The sequence below is a fragment of the Homo sapiens genome, chromosome 4 (genome assembly GCF_000001405.40).
Source record: "Homo sapiens chromosome 4, GRCh38.p14 Primary Assembly".
Lineage (NCBI taxonomy): Eukaryota > Metazoa > Chordata > Mammalia > Primates > Hominidae > Homo > Homo sapiens.
In genome coordinates, this window is record NC_000004.12 from 174,732,314 (window position 1) to 174,755,049 (window position 22,736).

A 22,736-nucleotide genomic window follows, 5' to 3' on the forward strand; every position below is an offset into this window, starting at 1 on the left:
CTCTGCACTCCAGCCTGGCGACAGAGCGAGACTCCGACTCAAAAATTAAAAAAAAAAAAAAAAGGAAAAATTAACATTGTAACATAAATTTGATATATGCACACTCAGGATACAAACATTTTAGTTCAAAATACAAAACTTAAATCCTTATGCTTGTGCAACAGAAGACATATACAAAAGTATTTATAGCAACACTGTTAGCTCTAAGGAAAAACCAAGACAAACCAAACCAAAACCTGGAACCAATTCAAATATCCATTGGCAGAAAAATGCGTAATAAACTGTGCCACGTCAATAAAATCAAATACCTAGTAGTGAAAATAAATTACCACCATTTCCAATGATGAGGATGAATCTTACAAATGTAAAACAGTAAAAACAAAAAAAGCAAATGCTGGAGATATAATGTATGGCACCATTTTTGTAAAATTCAAAACCAAGCAATTTCTCTCTCTCTCTCTCTCTATATATATATATATTTATGTGTATGTATGTATGTGTGTATGTATGTGTATGTGTGTGTATATACATACATATACATATTCATCAATATAGAATTATAACTACCAACTTTATGATAGTGATTAGCTAGGGAAATGCTGGGGAATGAGATAGTGAATTATACAGGTATCTTTAATATTGGTAATGTTTTAGCTCTAAGTCTAGGTAAAGGATTCAATAGTGTTTATGTTATTAAATTATACATCATCACATATATATTATGTATGTAATTATATACCAAAAGAAATTGTGTTATCATAAGAATCCTTATAGCTGAAAGAGGAGGAAGAGAGTCAGTGCCAAAATGAGGTGATGTGAAACTGACTGGGTCTCTGGTAGAGGAAAAAGGCCAAGAAAGAGCCAAAGAATGTGGGCAGCCTCTAGAAGCTGTAAAAGCAAAGGAATGGATTTTCTCCTAGAGCCTCCAGAAGGAACACAGCCCTGTAGACACCTTGAATTTAGTCTGGCAAAACACACTGGACCTCTGACCTCAAGAAGTGTAAGGTAATACATTTGTGTTGTTTAAGCCACTTGCAGAATAAATATTTTTAAAGTTTTCTGTATGTTGTGTTTTTTTGACATCTTAAAAAATCCTTCTGGCTGTGAAGAGACTACCTCTCCCCAGTGCCAGTCAAATTTCAAAGATAGCAAAGGGCCCAGCCTGGAGCATGTCTTGAGTAAACAAACTCATAACCTCAGAACCTTCCCCCCTCTATCAGCCAGTGCACCCAGAAGACAGTGTTCCTGTGCCTTAGTCATCTCAGGGCTAGGTACCAGGCAACTAGAAACCATCTCTATAGCCCAAAGCCTGGCAAAATTATTCAAACGAGGCAACCTTAAATAAACAGTTCACCTTGCCCTGCCTGCCTTTGCAGAAGAAACCTCAATAAAGGCTGTGGCTTAAACTTTCATGCTCCTACCTTCTGCTTCCTGACCACCATGATGTCTTTCCCACATGGCCCTGCATGGGATGCTGTGCCTCTTGTCTCTAGGACCCGTGAGTATAATAAACTGTGTTTTTTCCTGAGTCTCCCTGTTTCTTCTGTGGCCACATCAGACTGACCATCTCATAAAAGAATAAAAACACCACTCAATTTGTGGCAATGTGTTACAGTAGCAATAGGAAACTATTATATCTTTTTGAACTGATTTGCATACAATATTATTACCAGTTTTCGAAGACATCTCTAAAACAATAGACTTTCTTTTTTTTTTGGCCGGTAATTGGAGATGGTAGAAAACTTAAGGCAAATACCACTGGATTCATAGCCAGATGGAAAAAATAATCCAGAATTCTTTCTGTTTTAAAAAATCCTAATCAGAGATCTTGGCAAATTTCAAAATGATCAGAAAATAATTCACCTTTGTCAAATAATCAAGAATGAAGCTCAGACTTCTTACCAATGTCTCACTGGTTTAGCTGCATAAGCTTTTACAGTTCTGAAGTGCTGTACAATATAGGTTCCCATGCGTCAGGAAGCACAGAATACCGACACCCAATGGTGCAATAATTGCTTCTAACATCATCTCTGTAATATCCCCCATGTTGCCTATACCATCTGCTCTAAGAACCCCGCCACAGGGAGAGTTGTCGTCTGGGGCCACTGATTCTGCAGTAATGGCCCATTGGGAAAGTGCCTTTCAATTCTCAGTTACTAAAGCAACAGGGAAGAAAGTCATTTTATAAGAACTATTTAGAGGCTTAAAAGGTTATCTTAAATCTCCCTCTGACTTCTCCATTATCCATATGTACAATTATTCTCCTAGAAAAAAGAAGATTTTAAAATTCCAAAATTTTTTTAAAAAGCAATCTAATTGTGTACCAGTTCTGGAAACATGCAATTAAGAGGGATTGATTAGAACATAAAATGTGCTGAATCAATTAAATAACACTCTTCATATCTCATTTAGTAACCTCTGCGTAAATATAAGATTGAAAATTAAAATACTAGCAAAAACAATACAAAGCTGTATTCCATTAAGAATACTACCCATTCTGTACACTCGAATGCAATAATTTCTGGAGAGGTAAACTTAGTTCATGGGAACACTCTTTCAGAAGTTGAAATAAATTGATTTCAATTAATATAGCTCATTCAGTTTGTGGGCACCTCGATTTAGGTGTAAACACCTACAAAGGGCCAGTACTCCTAGTAGCTGCTTGCTGTCAATGAAAAATAGTAATTTTTGTTGCTCTTGGATTGCAAGGTAACAAATTAATCTCCCGCTAAGGTGCTGCACAGCTGTGCTCCACAAGCCCCCATTCATCCACCAGCCCCTTCTGTCTTTGATGCTCACTTAATATTTCTATTCAATTCTCCTTTGTCTGCTAATTGTATGACTAATTTTCAGCCTTAAAAAAAAAAGGCTAGATAACCAGGTGGACTTCACTCTGTCCTTCACAGCAAGTTGTGTCAACAAGCCTGTGGGTAGGAGAAAAAAATGGCAGAAGTTTCTACATCATTTTTCTGCCCACTTCTCAGCTCCTAAACTCCAATTTACTCCATTTTGTGTCAAACCCACTAGGAAGAGGAAGCTCATCTACTTCTCCTGGTTTAGACAACATGGACATGGAAGTCTACTAATACTTTTGCTCATGACCTGAAATTTGCATCACAAATCCACTCATTCCAACAGAATATTGTCTCTGGATTGATTTTATTGCTGCTTGATGTTAATTACACAATTTACATGTTAAAATAAACATAATCGTTTACACATAAGACATTAGTTTGTATTTTGTATATTTATTTATTTATTTTTTGAGATGGAGCATGGCTCTGTCTCCCAGGCTGGAATGCAGTGGTGCCAACTCTGCTCATGGCAACCTCCACCTCTCTGGTTCAAGCGATTCTCCTGCCTCAGCCTCCCAAGTAGCTGGGGTTACAGGCACCTGCCACTGCGTCCATGTAATTTTTGGATTTTTTAGCAGAGATGGGGTTCCGTCATGTTCGCCAGGCTGGTCTGGAACTCCTGACCTCAGGTGATATGCCCACGTCAGCCTCCCAAAGTGTTGGGATTCCACCACGCCTGGCCTCATTTTGTATATTTAATATGTGGGCATCTGCTTACTATTATTTTTGGACCTTCACTAAACAATTGTTCTACTACTGGAACATATGACGTGGCTCCTAAAACAGTGAAAATCTCTGGGGAAATGAAGTATCATTTGGTCTTTGGAACATTCTATTATCAATCAACACTACAAATGATCTTCAAATCAGATTTCTAAGAATTTCTTCCCAGTAATGGGAAGAAAATTTTTTGAGAAAAGTTGGAGATACTTCAAAATTTTGAGGTGGATAAGAGTGTCATAGAATCATAATGATTTTGAAGACATTCTAACTACTGTGTTTCCTTAAATGTCTGATATAAACTGTATTCTATTTTATTAATGTGTGTTTTTAAAATTTAAAAAATTGTGGTCAAATATACATAACATTTATCATCAAAGATGATAAATTTAAATTTAAAATTTTAAAAATTTAAAAATTTAAAAAATCGTGATCAAATATACGTAACATTTATCATCAGAGACATTTTATACATTAACAGTATTATGCAGTATTACAGTATTACGCAGCCATCACCACCACCACCTAGTTTCACAACATTTTTTTCACCCCACAAGGAAATCCTGTATCCAGTTAGTGATCTCCTTTCCTCCTCCTCTAGTCTCTGGCAAGCACTCATCTGCTTCCCGTCCCCATAGATTTACCTACTCTGGATATTTTAAATAAATAGAATCACACTATACGTGACCTTTTGCATCTGGCTTCTTCCACTTAGCATAAGTTTTTACAAGGTTTTATGGTACATTTAAGAACACAGAGGTCATTTGTTTATAGAAGTGTGAAGGGCCTTTTTGAGAGAATTATGTATGTAAGGTGATATGTAATATGTAATAGTTTCAGAGATATATTTTTGGAAGTGAGTGTTCTATACACAATGATGTATATGTACATGTATAAGCCATCACAATGCCTGTATATATGTATTATACATAAAACCCATGGGAATCCACAATCATCATAAAATATGAAAACAATAGCTACTATTAATAAAATGATACTAACTTTCAGGCATAAAACTAGATGCTTTAAAAATAATTTGGAATTGAAGAAATAATAAGTAAAATTGCCCTGTATATAAAGTTTCAGGATCATACTGATGCTTGTAAAGGCCTAACAGCTTCATCTTGCATACAAGTACTTTTCATGATAGCGACATCTGACACTGTCAGGGTTTATCTATTTACTTCACACTAATCAGTGTTTTTTTTAAAATATCATATGTAATTTGGGACTAATGTTATAGAACTAACAAAGAAAAAAAGATTTATTTTGGGCCTGTGTAAGATCAAATTTTACCAAAATAAATAATGTGAACCAAGTTTGTTTACCTCAAGTGTTTCCAGTTTAAAGATATCTAGATTTTTAGTTATACACACACATATTTAAAAATTTCATCTATTTAAAGGTTCACACTTCCCTTCACAGTTTTATTAAACTATTAACACGTAGTAGCTTGGCATTTGATAAAAGATATGGTTTAGTAAATAAGAACAAAGGAATAGACATTATTGGCAAAAACTTTGTTGTATTTGACATTTGTCCTCAGTAAGAAAACTGAACATAAATATAATTATTCCAATAATTATTTTCAAATTTTTCTGAATGCTAAGGCTTTTTTTTGTGGTTTTTTGTTGTTGTTGTTGTTGAGACAGTCTCTCTCTGTCGCCCAGGCTGGAGTGCAGTGGCACAATCTTAGCTCACTGTGACCTCTGCCACCTGGGTTCAAGCAATTTTGGTGCCTCAGCTCTAAGAAGCCAGGATTATAGGTGCCCACCACCATGTCTGGAGAAATTTTGTATTTTTAGTAGAGACGGGGTTTCTCCAAGTTGGCCAGACTGGTCTCGAACTCCTGACCTCATCAGATCCGCACGCCTCGATCTCCCAAAGTGCTGGGATTACAGGCGTGAGCCACGGTGCCCAGCCAATGCTCATGCTTGTTATCACAGTTTTACATTTTAACTGATATTTAAATTTTCAGAAATTTAAACCACTTATTTTCTTTGGGAATTTTTTTAATTCATGAGGACTTTTATGGCATACAACTAACTATGAAATGTGAGAGGTTAAAAATTAAAGGAAAAATGTTCCACTTTGGAAGAATTTTAGTTAATGAAATATTATGTCAAAGAAAAAAAATAAATTGCATTTGTTTTCTTTCTGAGCAATTCAGATAATTCTTACATAGTTGTTTATTGATTTGGAGATTGGCCAAGGAACTCTGTGGAGGTTAAGTGTACTGTAAAGCTGGAGAGGAATTAACTTCTTTTAGAAACTATCATTGAATATTGCTGCCTCATTTAGGACAGCTCTTGACAGTAACAGATGAAATGTTTGCTTCTTCTGCAACAAATAAAATTTTAAAGTCCACAATTCACTCTTAACTGAATAAGACATATATAACCTATTAAAATCAGAATTAAAAGAAAAATGTAATCAATCATTAGATATTTTCTACTTGGGTAGAGAACACCACTCATTTTAATATTTCTACATTTACAGGTATTTGGGTTTATGCATACATATATAAAGGTATTTGAATGTAGGGTATCACAGGCAAAAGATAGGTTGCAAAATTTTGGTGTGTTCTTGCATTGCATACAAATATTTGGCAACCTGTGAGTATTACCTTCTATTTGAGCATGTAAACTTGAGGAAATTCATATTTTGTTGAATGTAAATCCTAGTGTAGGTTTAGCATAATGTTGCAGCTGAAACTTTTAGAAATACTTAAGTATGATTATTTCATTTCCACATTATAGTTTTGATCTGTTCGGAATCGATTGATATTTCTTTTCTCTGTAAAATTAGCTTGCTATTTATACTCGAATACTTTCATGACAAAAAAATTATTTGAAGTGATGAGAACACATGTACTAAATTAAGCATCTTTACCAGTGGTGTATTGTAGGACAAGAACAACAACTGAGATCTCACTGCTTTTCATTCAGGCCTTTTGCTATCAAAATAACTCAGCATGCCACATAATATACTGCTTACCACAAGTGACACCATCTCATAGGCAAGGTCTCTTTTATGGTGGCAGATTATTTTCTCTCAGGGACTATGCCCATATACCAGCTGAATTCCACTGAGCAACTTCTGTTCAAACCATGTAGAAAAGGCTCAGTAAAGCCCTGCTCAGATCTCTGGCTTACAAAATCATGGCATGTAATGAAATGTTTGTTTTGTATAAACCACAAAGTTTTGGGATAGTTTGCTATGCAGCAACAACTGGAATAGAACTAGGAAACTAGAAGTGGGTGCTGCTCTAAGAAGAAAACTTAAAACATGTTCCCTTGACTCTGGGAGCAGGTAGCAAGAAGTAGGTTGCAAGGATTTGAAGAGATTGTTGTGATGGTTAAAGGAATGAGAAGGAAATTCTTATTAGAGGAGAGAAAAGAAAATCCACCCCTACATTGTGGGGCAGAAAGCTTGACAACTCATTTCAGTAATGTAGAAAACAGAATATGCAACTAATGAACTGTTGCATTTGGCCAAGAATATTTTCTGGTAAATTCCTGAAAAATTCCACTTCACTTTTTTGTGGGCTCTGGGTAAAGATCTTCTCAAGGATGTGACTACGACCCCTTGCCTATACTTCAGAAATATTAAAAATGTGCCTCATAAATGTTCTCAATTAGATTAAAAAGTTTCTAAGAATCATAAGAGCATTATCTCAAAGAATCTTGATTCCCAACCCAAGGTAGAGAATCATAGGAAGCCCACAAAAATGTTAAGAGAATTAGACTAGTAGAAGCACCATTGGCTTCATTTGAAATGGGCAGGGACAGTTCAAAATGCAAAGAGCTTGCAAGGTTCCCACATTTCTATGAGCAGGAAGCGGTATGAAAAGGCTACTTTGTAGCAAACATGGCTCATTTTTACCGAAAAGGAAAGATGACTCAGAAGGCAGAAACAAGAGCCAACACGGTAAAGTCAAGATCCACATTTTCTGGGAGCAGGACTGGGCCTTAATAATGTAACTGGAAGGATATGCTTTCCCAGGCTCCAGAATTGCTATGAACCAGTGACTACAATGTACTTCCCATCACCCTTTCCCTATTGAATGGGAACACCTTATCCCTATTGCAGTTTTCCTATTCTGTATCGCCTCTGTAGGCTGACTTTGTGTGGGATAGAAAACCTGTTCTTAAATTCACAGGTCTTTTGATCGAGAGGAATCATAAGATCCACCTTTTGGGAACCTCATTTGCACTCGCATCTAATTTAGTTGACACAATTCCAGACTTCAAAACAATGCTATAGTGGGACAAAAAAGCTGGGGTCTTTAGGAAGGGGTGTTTATGTTTTGCATATTGGAAGAATGTAAACAATGTCACTAGAAGGCCGACTGTGTCAGATTAAAGATGTCCTATGGGTTGTAAGAATCCTCAAAGCTTTTACCCTGTCTCTTGAAGCGCTCTGAGACACAGCTGGCTGCCATGTCAGAAGTTAGAAACCCCAGAGAAACTACACTGAAGGAGCCACATGTAAGAACTCTGGTCAACAGTCCCAGCTGGGTCCAGATTTCCAGGCTTCCTCACCAAGACACTAGGCATATGAATGAAACCATTTTGAATGCTGATCCTCCAGCTGAAACCAGAGATTTTATATCAATGACAAGAGGAGCAGAAAAGTTACCCAGCAAATCCCTGCCTATATTCCTGATCCACATACATGTGAGACCTAATAAAATTGGTGTTGTTTTAAGCCATTTTATTGTTGATGTTCCTGCTTTAATTTGTTTTAAAATTCAGATAGAGCTTACATACAGATCTGTACCAAATGCATAGAGATGTGTAATCACCATCACAGGCAGGTTACAGAATAGAGCTCTCACCCACAGATATTCCCTGTGTTGCCCTTTTGTCTTGAAACCATCCCTACACCTATTCCCTCAAAGCCAGTGATGCCTTCTTCATCCTCATTGTTTTGCCTTTTCTAGAATGTTGTATAAATGGAATCACACAATATTTAACATTTTGAGTCTGGCTCTTTCTTGACTTAAGTTATTGTGTGTATCAGTTTATTCCTCCTAATTGCTGAGTTGCATTCAATTGTACGGGCGTGCCACAGGGCTTATTCACCCATTGATGGACTTCTGGTGTTTTTCCAGTATTTTGTGATTATGGATAATGCTGATGTATACACTTGTGTATGGGATTTTATGTAAGCATACGTGTTTGTTTCTCGTAAGTAAATATCTACGAGTGAGATTACTGGGTCATATTAAGTGCATGTTTACATTTAGAAAAAAAGTGCTAAACTGTTTTCTAGAATGGCTGTACTATTTGCACTTCCGTCAATTATATATGAGAGTTACAGTTTCTTTGCACTCTTATCAGTAATTAGTAAATTCAGATTTGTTTAAAAAATTAATTTCACCTTTTCTAATATGTGTGTAGTTGTTCTCATTGTGGTTTTAATTTGCATTTTGCTAATGGCTAATGATGTCAAGTAGTGTTTTCTACCTATTTGCAATGCGTATATCTTTTTAGTGAAGTGTAACAAACATTTAAATTGCTCATTAAAAGTATTGTTTTTATTTTACTATTAAGTTTCTAGAGTTCTTTATAACTATTCTGGATACATATCCTTTGCCAGACATGAGATTGGCAAACTTGTTTTTTCACAGCATGTAGCTTTTTTTTCCTTCTATTAACAGCATTTTTCACAGAAATAAAGGTGTTTAATTATGATAAAGATCCCTTTATCCATTATTTATATTTTTTAAATTGTGCTTTTGGTGTTATATCTAAGAGCTCGTTACCTAACCCAAAGTCACAAAGATTTTCTATGTTTTTGTTTTCTTCTAATCATTTTATAATTTTAAATTTCATATTTAGGTTTGCGGTCAACTACGAGTTAATTTTTGTATGAGGTATGAGTACGTATTGCAGCTTATTTTTTTCTTCTGCATAGTTGACAAATTATTCCAACACTATTTGTTGAAAAGATTAGAATGCTATTTTCTTATGGTGCAGAACCTAGGAAGAGCAGATTTAAAACTGTGTGAGGCAAGAGGTTATTTGTTCACACCTGAGTTTTGCTCATCTTTGAATCCAAATATATAAAATGTTTTTTCTTTTGCTCAGACACACAGAATAATTGGCATTAGCTAGAAATTCCCTAGCATGGTTTTTGTGAGAGTAATGATTAAAAAACAACAAAAAAGTCAGGTATGACAAAACACAATATATCACAGCAATTTTGTTGTTAAAAGAAAGTAATTTTAAAAATAATAGTTAAAATTTTAAGAAATCTTATTTGTTAGAAAGCTGACAAGCTAAAATTGAATCTGTAGTTCAATATTTAACATCAGTAGAAGCTGTGTGAATGGATATTGACCAAGGACTCACCTAATTAAGTTGAGGGTAAGAAAATATATTATTCGAGGTTTTTAATAAGCTATTTTAAGAAACATAATTTGAAGAGTAGGAACACTAAAGCTTGCTTTGAGTATTGTTCAGAATGAAATAGTTGTATAACATATTCTGCAATAACTCTGGTACTAAAATTGTCAAGAGCAAGCAATTTAGTCTTAATATAAGTAATAAGAAAGAGAAACTCCAGAAAGGAAAGAGAATTGCAAAAATATGTTGCATTCTGAATCAAATAGCCACTGGGCTTTTACAGGGCAAGACACTGCTAAACTCATGGGGAAATTTAAGGAGGAAAAATCTCTCTCTCCTTTGTTTCTGATGTTTGCTTTTTCTTCAGTGTTTTGAGAGTAAAAAGAAGATAGATGGAAATTCAGACTTGCAATATGTGCCATTAGAAAATTACAAAGCCCTTATGATCTCAGCAGAAAAATGATAGCTTTTAAAGCCTGTTCCCTGGTGCTTCATCACCTTTCCCAGAAGGATATAAATTACTGGAAGATAATTGCTATGAATACATCATTCTTTTTCTTGAGATTCCCTGGTCCTTGTGAAACTCAATCTATGTCCCTAGGAGCAGAGTTGGTGGAGAAGGATGATACCATAGAAGAGAGAGGCAAAATTATTGAAGATCCATTCTGTTGGCTTGTTTTGTTTTACTTTACCCTCCCCATTTAAAAGAATCAAGAAAGGACAACCTATTTGATTATATAAAACTCTGTATCTGTTGTGGAATATCCATAGCTGTTGTGGGATAAAAATTATTTCAAAAGGAAATTCAGAATTAAGCTATTTCCTCTCTTTTAAATTTAGTCTTACAGAAAAGTTGCAGAAAATAAGAGTTTCTGTAAACCTTTTATACAGCTTCTGCTAATGTTAATATTTTACATATTCATAGTAGTTTTTGAAACCTAAAAATTAACATTGATACAATACCATTAACTTACCTGCAGACCTATTTTGAATTTCACGAGATTATGAAAAAAGAATTCAAGATTATAAAATTAAAGAATCTAATATCCTCTAATATCCCTTTTTTTCTCGTGTAGGATCTAATCTAGGATCCCACATTGCATTTAGCTTTTAACTTAGTCTCTTCTAATCTGTGACAGCCCCATAGTCTTTTTTTTCTTTTTTCATTTTTTTCTGTCTTTCATATCCTTAACACTTTTTGAGATATACCAGCCAGTTATTTTGTTGAATGTCCCTCAGTTTGGGTTTGTCTGATGTTTTCTCATAATTAGATTGGTATTAGTCCTTTTTAACAAAAATGCTGCAGAAAGGATACTGTGCCCTTCTCATTGCATCATTCCAATAGCACATGATGTAGACCTGTTTCATGGGTGATGTTTAGCTTGGTCACTTGATTAAAGAAGTACCTGCCAGGATGATTCATGGTAAAGATATAGTGAAGCTTATTTGGTACTATTTGCATGATATTTTAGGTTTCCTTATAACCCTTGCATCTTGGTGGATTTCAACAATTCTTATAGATATTTAGTGCATTTTTGAAACATTTTGTAATTTCTAAAGTTGAGATATTACATACAATAGGTGTTCAAATTGAAAAAAAACACAAATAATGTATCTTAGAAGTGACAGCTCTGTGCCTGGGTTTATGAGTACAGAACAGGACCCCCTCTCTTGATCCATACACCACTGCAGCTGCAGCTGTTGCTGCTGCCATTGTAGGCTGGGACAGGCAAGCCAGAGGGCTGCCGGTCTGTGGCTGTGAGTGGTGACTATGTCCCCACTAGTAGCATGGCCTTTGTGCTTGGGCTCACAAGGGAAGGAGAGGGTTCTTCCCCTACTCTGTATGGTGCTGTGGTGCTGCAGCCATCAAAAGTAGTTAGGCCTGAGAGCTATGTGTCTGGGGCTATGGTTGGCAACCCAGCATTGCAGCCACTGGCAACACCACCGTGCGGTGCTTGGGACCCAGAGGGTTGTAGTGCCACTGCCACTGCCATTGCCCACACCACACTGGCTGCTCAGGGACCTAAGAACGCAATCACCTACGTGGCCTGTGACTGCCATTACTGGCATCAGAGCAAGCCACTTGGAGGACCAAGAAGAGGCCTGCCTGGTCCTACTGACACAGGTGCTGGTGTATGCTGCCCTGGGAGCCGAAGAACAGGCACATTCGAAACCCTGCTACCCCCACTGGGACCAGGACCTAAAGACTGGCCCACCTGGCGTCCCTGCCCCCAGCAAAATTTAACCATACCCTCCACTAGTTCCTGTACCCTAAACCACTGAGGAAATCACAAATACCACCAATGCTGTTTATAGTCAAGTAAATCATACAAAGATTGCACGACTGCATGCACCCAGAATCAAAGCCAAAGGGTTCTAACCAATTGAAACCATTGATACATATTCAGGAAAAAGTCATTCCTTGTGAATTCAAAGAATTGTAAGAAATGACTATTACACCAGTTACATATATATCAACATAAGGACACCAGAAACATGATAAAGCAAAGAAATATGACGCCTTCAAGGGAACACAATAATTCCTTAGCAACAGATCCCAACTGCAAAGAAATTAACAAAATTATGAAAAAGGAATTCAAAATTATGATATTAAAAAAGCTTAGTGAGATAAAGAGACTTTGAAAATACAATACACAGAAATCAGAAAAACAATTCAGGATATGAATGAGAAATTTACAAAAGGGATAGCTATCTTAGTGAAGAACCAAACACAAATTCTGTAACTGAAGAACTCCCCGAATAAAATGCAAAATACACTCAAAAGCTTCAACAATAGACTGAATCTAACAGAAGAAAGAACCACAGAACTTGAAGACAGGTCTTTTGAAATAACTCAGGGAAAAATAAAGAAAAAAGAATGAACAAAATCTTTATGATATGTGGGATAGCATAAAGCAACCAAACATACAAATTATTGGTATTCCTGAAGGTGAAGAAATGTTAAAAGGGTTTGAAAGCCTATTTAATGAAATAATAGATGAATACTTCCCAAGTCTAGCAGGATATTTAGACATCCATATACAGGAGGCCCAGTGTCCCCCAAAGAGATACAATGCAAAATGGTCTCCGTGACACTTTATAGGCACACTGTCTGAAGTCAATGGCAAAGGAGAATTCTAAAAACAGCAAGAGAAAAGCATCTAGTCACCCCTAAAGTAGTTACCGTCAGACTAACAGTAAGCACTTACTATGTATTTTCACAGTTTTAGGTCGTACATTTAAGTATACTTACTATGTATTTTCATAGTTTTGGGTCTAACACTTAAGACCCATTTAAGTGCTGACTTTTCCCTATAAAAAGGACATTGGTCTTGGCAAAGATTTTATGGCTAAAACCTCAAAAGCATAGGCACAAAAATAAAAATAGACAAATGAGACCATATTAAACTAAAAAGCCCCTACAAAGCAAAATAAACAGTCAACAAAATGAGGAGATAAGCTGCAGAATGGGAGAAAATATTTGCAAGTTACTCATCTGACAGGTGACTAATATTTGGACCATATAAGGAACTTGAACAACTCAATAGGAAAAAAAAAAAAAGTTCCAAATAATCCCATTAAAAGATGGGCAAAAAACATGAGTATACATTTCTCGAAAGAAGACACAGAAGTGGCCAACACATATCTTAAAAAGTGCTCAACATCACTATCATTAAGGAAATTCAAATAAAAAACACAATTAGATATTATCTTATGCCAGTTAGAATGGCTATTATTAATAAGAAAAAATAACAGATGCTGGTGAGGACGCAGAGAAAAGAGAACTCATACACTCTTGGCAGGAATGTAAATTAGTACAACCACTATGGGAAACAGAATGGAGATTTCTCAGAAAACTAAAAGTAGAACTACCACACAATCCAGCAATCTTACTACTGGGTATCTATCCAAAGGAAAATAATTCAGTATATCAAGGGGATACCTGCACTTGTACGTTTATCACAGCACTATTCGCAGTAGCAAAGATATGGAATAAACCTAACTGTCTATTAACAGGTGAATGAGTAAAGAAAATGTGTCATATATACACCATGGGATACTGTTCAGCCTAAAAAAAGTTTGAAATAATTTCATTCTCAGCAACATGGAAAGAGCTGCAGGTCATTCTTTTAAGTGAAATAAGTCAGGTATGGAAAGACAAATATTGCACCTTCACACTCATATGTGGGAGCTAAAAAAACTCATCACTTCACGGACATAGAGAATAGAATGATAGATACCAGGGACTGGGGAGACCGGGTAGTGGGAAGAGAGGGATTAAGAGAGGTTGGTTATGGTTATAAATATACAATTAGATAGAAGAAATAAATTCTAGAGTTTGATAGAGGACGAGAATGGCTATACTTAGCAACAATATCATGTATATTTCACAGTAACTGGAAGAGTTACCAATATAGTTACCAGTTACCAACACAATTCCTGAGTCACCAATACCAATATCTGCCACCAATATTTCTGATACCAATACATAAAAATGGTAAACCCATGTGAAAATGATGTATGCCCCAGGTACGCTGACTTGAACACTACACATTCTATGCATGAAACAAATACTCACATGTACCCAATAAATATGTAAATCATTATATTAGGTTGGTGCAAAAGTAATTGTCATTACTTTTAATGGTGAAAACCGCAATTATTTTTGCACCAACCTAATATATCAACAAAAGAGGGAAAAATAGTGACAGAATCTTAGATTGACATGTACTCACAGGAAGAATGAAGTCTTACAATTAAAGAATATGGGCTTGTCTGTGTTACACTCAGAATTTGTTTGTTTACATAATTATAATCAAACTACATATATTATGGATCCTTCTATTATTGGTCACCAATTATTCTGGCTTCTGCCTTTGTGGCTCTTTCCTTGAAGAAGAATTATATATCCCTGCTTTGCTGTACTCAGGAGTGGCCATGTGACCTAAGAGGTGAATATCAAAGAGTTAGACAACGAGGACATAAGGGCAGTGGTGGAAAGAGTAGTCGATGAAGGAACAGCAAATGCAAGGAACAGATGTGAGATAAAATATTGCTACTCTAAAAAGTAAGAGTTCAAAGGGCATTCTGAAATGCACAGTGGGTTAGGAGATGGGGTGGGGCGAGAATTCAGTCTGATGACTTAAGGTGAGACAGATTATACAGGGCTAGTATAAGCCATGGAAATTTGAATTTTGCTCCAACAGGAATTATTTGAGAGCCAATGAAAGAGCAGAAAAATGACAAGATCTTATTTGAGTTTTAGAAAGATCCAGGGTAGTGATTGGGTGGGTAGTAAGGGAGGAGCAGAGTTAGATTCTGTGACGGTTCCTGTCACAACAGTGAGAGGTGATCCCCAAAGTGGTGAAAAAGTGACATATCTGGGAAATATTTGCGGGGTAGAATTGCTGTGCCTTTGTGATTCATTAGATATTGAGCTTAAGGCAGGAAGAAATAGGTCCTCAATTTTCTGGCTGACTCAATGAGATAGCAAACAGGTGAAGCAGATTTGGATATGATGAGCTCCAGGAATTTGTACAATTGAGGGAGATAATCAGTTCAGATATTTGAGAAACCAACTTACTGATTAGACTACTGTGTCAGTGTACAGTTAATCTTGCCTTTAACATTATAGCATATATATATGCTGTTCCAATAACATTATAGCATATATATATGCTGTTCCAAATACTATGTTTTAATGTTATTTTGGTTTGTTTTATACTTCCCCATGCCTTTCACATGGAGACACTTGGGCTATAGCTATTGACTGGACAATTACCACTATACATGTGGATGGCCATAAAGCCAAGGACAAGGATAAATGTACATACAGAGCATATGTGTAGCAAAGGCAGTGCCTCTGATTGAACCTTAATAATGGCTGGCATTCAAGAAATAGAAAGAAGATAATAGTGCAAATAGATTTGGGAAGGAGTGGCCAGAGAGTCAGAAAACCAGAGATGGTTGAATTAGAAAAGCCAAAGTAAGACAGTTTTCAAGAGCATAATCAACAGTGGCAGATTCTGCAAAGATGTCAAGAAAGTTTAAGCTTAAGTGGTTCATTGTTGTTATTGAATACTTTGGAAATAGCAATTTTAGTGAAGCGATTGGTGAAAAACCAGGAATTGAGGAATAGCATCAGGTACAACCATTTAAAGTAATTTGGCTGTGAATAGAAAGAGAAATATGGGAATAACTAGAAATAAACAAATCCAGGGAAAGCTTTCATTTTAGGAGGGCAGTTAGCAAATCAAAACATTAAAGGGAGAAGACACATAAAGAAGAGTTGAAATACATTGAGTGTGGTCCTGGAGTAAAAAGGACTTCAGGATTTGATGTAGAAAAAATTGGGAACTAATCTTATATAAAAGGAGGGAAATATGCCTCAATGTATCAGCAGGAACATTATACCCAGGTTAAATTTTAGGTTTGGTGGCAGGTTGCTAAAAGGTTTCTTGTGTTCCGGTCTCTACGTTTTCTGTGAAGACAAAGGTAAGGTCATCTGTTGAGAATCAGAAGACAGGTTTGGAGGTTAAGGGTAGGTTTGTGTGAAAGACTAGCACTCACCCTCCATTTGACCTGTCTTGTAACCTGTCAGCTAGTATTGCAGAAATTAGAAAGATAGAAAGATATTAAAGCTAGGGACCTTGATGTGATTTCTGTTTAGTCAATTACATGCACTTGTGGGAGATTGAGACAAAGCCATGATCTGCTCATTCTGAGTTTCTACTTGCAAGTGGATTTATGGGATTATAGTATCATTGAGTTTTTCCACAGTAGTGTCAATGGAGATTCCCTGTCATGTCACTAGTTTCATGATTGTTGAAAGAACAAATAAATGTAAATTATCTAGTAATAATTATAATTGCGGCTCAGTGACTGCTATTGTTTCTCGATTCGTAGATTTCAGCAGTGTGTTCCTGGAGCCAACTGTTCCAGTAGCAGCCTTCCCACTTCCTGATTCAGGCAAGGGTAGCAGCTTTGCTTACAAGCCAAATCTGTGGTATAATCCTCCTCCCCCAGCTTTCCAGTACTTTTATAAACATCTGATTCCCAGAAATAAATTCCTTTCTGTGAGGTGGCTGGCATGGTTTCTGTTACAACCACTGAATGCAACTGGAGCAATCTTTGCCATCAGAGGAGTTGTGGGAATAGGCACTTTGTACTGTTCAGTTGGCCTATTTGTGTTTGAAGGCCAGGCATATCTGAATCCATTAAATGATAGGATACTAGAAGTACACAGAAACCAGTGGCAAAATCAGTTAAATTTTTTACCTATGGCCACCTGAATTGAAGTACATGATTTTGCAAACCAAGTATTGAAAGCCATAGCAAAGAATAATGTCACAGGCATGAGGGAGTCAGGGACTGAGAAATGGGTTGCCTGCTTCTGATTGCATTGGGGAGCTAAAAGAAAAAATAAAATCTGGTGCAGAAAATTAAATTCTCATATTAAGGCATGGTCAGAGAACCAGGGATTTTTCATGACTCTCCTGAATGTGTATCTTATCTCTTGTACCTTCATGGATGAAGATGGTAGGGCTGAAAACTAAACACAAAGGATTAATCTGTGGACTACTAAACTAAAAGGTACATTATATTCACTCTCTTGCAGAGTGACATATATGAGTGTTAGCTCCTTGGTTGGGAAAGAGTAAAAGTTCAAATATTAGAAAAATAAAATTGGGAAGATTTAGAAAATTCTAACAAAATCTAAGGCTCTTGTGTTAGCAGAAGCAGCTCCTCCTCCCATGTATGATGAAGGAGGGGTATACCTATTTTTCTTATATCCCACCTCAACCTTCCATCACTGCCCTCATGGAGTAGATCTCTGAAAGCAGCTAGAAAGCCAATTATACTCAATCCAAGGAAGAGAAGTTTTGTATCCTAAGGAAGTGCTAGATTTTACCATTTTTTGTGCATAAATTGTTATATGTGGAATAGATTCTGAGAGTGCTAGACCATGGATTATGAAACAAAATTTTAGAATTGGCTAAACTGATTGCTATAGGTGTGTTTACAGAGATTCTAGATGCTGTGTATTAGCTCAGATAGCCAGGAATGGCTCCTATGGGTTATTTGGCTGACTGAAAGCTGGGCCTAGCAGGGGACTATGCTGAATGATGTTTATATATTACAAATTTCTTAGTCTGTCATATATGAGACATCCAAAGACATAGAAAATAAGAGACATAGAAACGGATTTAATATGTATCCTCATTTAATTCTCTTTTCCCAGCTATGTACCCTAAGAGGGCCCATTTACCAAGGGATTAAGATTATATTAGTAAATGAAAGGCCAGCATCTTTAAAAAAAAATGCATTGTGATGGCTGTCCTCTGTAAGCTGAACATATTGCTCCTGAAATGAGCTCCCAGATTTCAATAGTGATAATTGCCAAGGTGACAGATAAAAACTTAGCAGTACTTAATCCAAGTAGCAAAATGGATCCTGTTATCATAAATGGAGCAGCTTTGGAGTGGTATTCATAACATGTAAACCTTAGTGATCTTTGACTGCAGATGGTTGCTCAGGAGGTTAATAGACTTGAAATAAATGGGTAGCTCATTAAGGAAGATCCCACTTGTTTTGAATAATCAAAATAACACTGGGAAATAAAGGGCCCAGGACATCTCTAGGCTGGAAGCTTTACTGATAGATGAATTAATGATCTTCAAATTCTTAGGGGAAGTTTTCAGACAAAACTTAAGAATGTCTCATGAAGAACTTTTACATAGGGATCTATCTAGGACAGTTTCAAAACAAAGTTTACCCTTATATCAGCTAACCCAGAAAAAAGAGAAGCCTGTCTGTCTGTCTATCTATCTATCTATCTATCTATCTATCTATCTATCTATCTATCAATCATCTATCTACCTACCTACCTTCCTGCTACCTACCTATCTATCTACATTTTTTAGTAAGTCACACCTTTATAGAAGCTTTTTCTGGTTAAAGCATGATAGAAACATCATAAGTGTGGTGTAAATTTCACAAAGAATTTGTTGCCATCGAAGGAGACATCAAGAATGAACTCCATGTAAATATTTTGAGAACAATTTTATCAAATAATGAAAGACAGGATGCAACAATCATTTTATGAGTGAAATAAATAGATAAATATAATCACAGCAGAAAAAGAAAGTAATATGGCCCTTGCATCAGATGTGGAAGATAAATGTGAAACAAGTCTGAATGTATTTATAATTAGTACACGTGTTTGTGTGCAGGCACACAAAGAAAGTTTAAAAAATAACATCAAAGAATAAATTCATACAAAAATAAAAGAGAATATAGTTTGATCTCCAGTTTATAAGTATTACTAATTTTGCAAATAGGTAGGGGCATAATCATGAATCCCTTCCTCGTCAGAATACCCAGTGCTCTTCCCATTATATGACAGCATTGCTGTTACGTAGCCCACTGAGTAATGAGTACAGAAATATTACTCTTGGGCAAGTTTACTCATTAGTATCCTTATAAATATACACTTTAGAGCACACATTATTTTCAAAGAGGACAGTATGGTTCCTGAGGGAGCAAAAATTGGTTCTTGGTGGGTGAAAGAATGCTTACCCTTTTTATGTATAATTCAGAGATATGTACAGAGCATATAAATAAATTTACAGTTCATCTGAAGTACTAAAATTTCACGGGGAGGGCAATTAGGGAAAAGATGTCTAAAAAGTGTCTTTAGGGAGGCATAATGAAAAAAAGTGTTGAGAAACACTGCTTTAGGAGAAACTAAACAGAAAAGGGATGCAAAGCATAGTCATTTCTTTTTATGTCTGCTGTCAAATTTTGATTAATCATCTTAATCTTATAGTGCATGGATGAGGAATAGCAATTATCTTTATAGCTAGTTATAATATGAAAAGAAGTAAAGTATATTTAGAATCAGAATTTTTAGCCTTTTTAGTAGCTGCTTCTTGAGATGCATATATAACAAGCATACGATGTAGGGTATATTAGCACAGTGAGTGATCATTGAAAGACGGAGTGAGCAGAAAAACACAAGAGAAGCTGATGCAATGTATGAAATGATGCTCATAGGGAGAAACAGTGAAATAACAACCTGAAGCAAACAAAGTGACTTCCATCAGGGAAAGAGGTTAAATTTCATCTCATAAGCTCAAAGAGGCACCTGGCTATTCTCTTATTACCTCTGGTAGAAAGTCTTGTGCCAGTTCCGAGGCTTCCTGAGAGACTGGAAGTGAAACAATGTCACAGCTTAGCATCATTAAGGAGTGGAGGCAACTCCATTGGAGAGAGAGAGAATGAGAGAAAGGGGTGGGTATGAGTCCTTATAGGAAAAGGTAGAGAGTAATTCTTCACTATTCCGAAAGTTTGACGATAGAAAAGAGTCCCAGAAGCGCTGGAAGACTTAATGGAGAAGGAAGCACTCCCAAATGTCTTCCTTACCGTAGGAGGAAATTAATACTTCATTAATATCCATAGTAAAGTGAATGGGTTTTGCGGGTGAAGGTTGCCCAGGATTTATCAGTGAATATTTTCAGTTTATCTTCTTAATGTTAATATATGTTATAAGCTCATTTTTGTTAATTATACCTCTTAATATAATCTTGTGACAAGATTATTTGTCTTATGCTTTATCTAGCCTCTGGAGTGTTGGCAATATTCCAAGAAACTACTAAAATTTTTGAAAAGATGCTGCAGATTATAGTACTACCTTTGTGACAGTAAATCCATGTTTCTTCATGTTCTCCATAGAACAAATGGCTTATGTTATCAAGCCTCCTTGATGAGATTGAGAATAACTTCCCTTTTGTTTTAAAACCAAATTTTTAAGAACTAAATTCATTTTGATATACATATGTCATTGTTGAGAAGGAATCTTTCAGTTTCTCATTGACTTCCTAAGTAACAAGGAAGGCTTAACTCTTGCGTGCATCTGTTCTACTTGACAGGACACTTGTGGCACAGCCCCAGGTTCTTGTCAGTCTGGCATGTTTGAATCCTTCTGAAGCATTTAGTTGGCTTGTTGTTTTGTGGGTAACCTGGAAGTCTCATCGCAGCAACAGAAATATGCCGTTTGAACGGTCCAGAGAGCTACAGTGTTAATATTAACTCACACATCTGTCAGAGATTCAGCCTAAGAGCTGAAGAGCTATCTGCAATTTAAATTGATTGCCAAGAACTTAACACTAATTGACATGCTAGATTCATAACTAAGTAACACATTATGACTAGTGCCAGTCATCTTAGAGAACACAATTCCCAATCTTGCTGCCCATTTTATCTTTAGAGGCTGAAATGACATTTTGGAGAGGATTCTTTCAGAAAATCAAATTCTCTTAGAAAAATGTGATGATGATGAATATAATGAAGAGGAATAGCATTGCTGTGATCTGTTCATGATAATCTGATCATTTCTATGTTATGAGAGGTGGCCAAGAGAAGTGTTTAATTGATCTCTACGATACCTTCCTCTAGAGAGATCCTTGACCAGGTAATGGTCATTTTCCATTGCAAATTAAGAGGAGGCAGAAAAGAGAAGAGTTGAATTTGACACATATCTTTGCCATTACATTTAACTCTACAATCTTTATTTCTCTTTCCCAGCCCAAATATTTCAAATGCCTTAAAAATGCAATTTTTAAATTTACTTGTCGAAAGGAAACTCTACAATGATATACAGTCTGATAAAGGAGATAGCTTATAGAGGTCTGTGCCTGACGACTCTCTCTCAGGATACAGATTTTTTTTTTCCGTTGTCATTAGCACCAGTTTCTCCTTGACATTTCCCTCCACAGAACTGGAAATGTGCCTTTTAACATTGTTTTAACAACATTATAGCACTAATAAACAATTGTATTCTCTATGATATTCTGTATGAGATTTTTACCTTTGTGAACAGGATCTGTAGACAGTCCCTTTCTGAGCATGATGATTATAAGGATGACTTGGTGGATGAATTCATTAAGCAGAGATTTATTCATATGCCTCATGGGGTCACCAAAGTGTATAACATTCATGCATACTTATCTTTTGCAAGCATCCCCATAAATAAGCCCATTTCTGATTGATGCTTATATGTGATAGATCAGAGCACAATCATTCTGCCAATCACTGGTTACTCATGCATGGAATTAAAAATCTTCCAGATCCATGCCATTTCTATATTTGGTTTGGCTTTACCTATTACTCAAAGTAAGAAAAAAAAGAGAAGGAGGATAAGATGTAAACAGATATAATTTTAACATTAAAAGGATAGCAGGATACTTTCAGGCTGTTCCAAAAGAACTGAAATAGCATCAATCTAATAATATCCTACATGAACATTGTTGAATTTATAAATATGAATGACATCGGAATAGCCACTGAATGCTATTATGGTACTTACAAATAGTGAATAAATGTACCTTTGTAAGAATTTAACCCATTGGCATTAGATAAAAAGGACCAATGGCACATTTTAGGGGAAGTTTACAAAAGAACAGAAAAAAATGGACTTTTCTTCAAATTACACACATTTTATTTCAGTTGTGATAAAAATTACTGTAAAACCTAGCCTGTTTATGAAATAGTTGCACCCTAATATTTTTGATTTTTGAAAATTATTCTTGGATCACTATATAAATAGGAGCTCTAATTTCTTATCATGGAGAACTCTCCATAAAAATTTCAGCATTTTTCACAAAATTATCTTTCTATAAACATGCGTGAAAGAGCAAATGCTTTTAGAAGAAAGATTATAGAATTACACTGAAAGATTTGAATAAAAAAGCCAAGTTCATTAAGGCTATATTATCCAACATTAACTTGATTGTACAATTAGCTGCTT

The 22,736-nt window shown here is 35.9% G+C and overlaps 1 protein-coding gene across 8 annotated transcripts in view, besides 1 other annotated feature; it reads right to left on the reverse strand.

Annotated features, from left to right (window-relative positions):
* Window positions 1-22,736, reverse strand: part of GLRA3 (glycine receptor alpha 3) — a 192,328-nt gene that overhangs the window by 95,394 nt on the left and 74,198 nt on the right. The window lies entirely within an intron of this gene.
* Window positions 11,863-12,444: an enhancer, noted in NCBI's record as "H3K27ac-H3K4me1 hESC enhancer chr4:175665327-175665908 (GRCh37/hg19 assembly coordinates)". NCBI's record gives its function as "activates a minimal SCP1, AML or CMV promoter by ChIP-STARR-seq in primed H9 embryonic stem cells {active_cell/tissue: H9 hESC(primed)}" and the evidence as "EXISTENCE:reporter gene assay evidence [ECO:0000049][PMID:30033119]".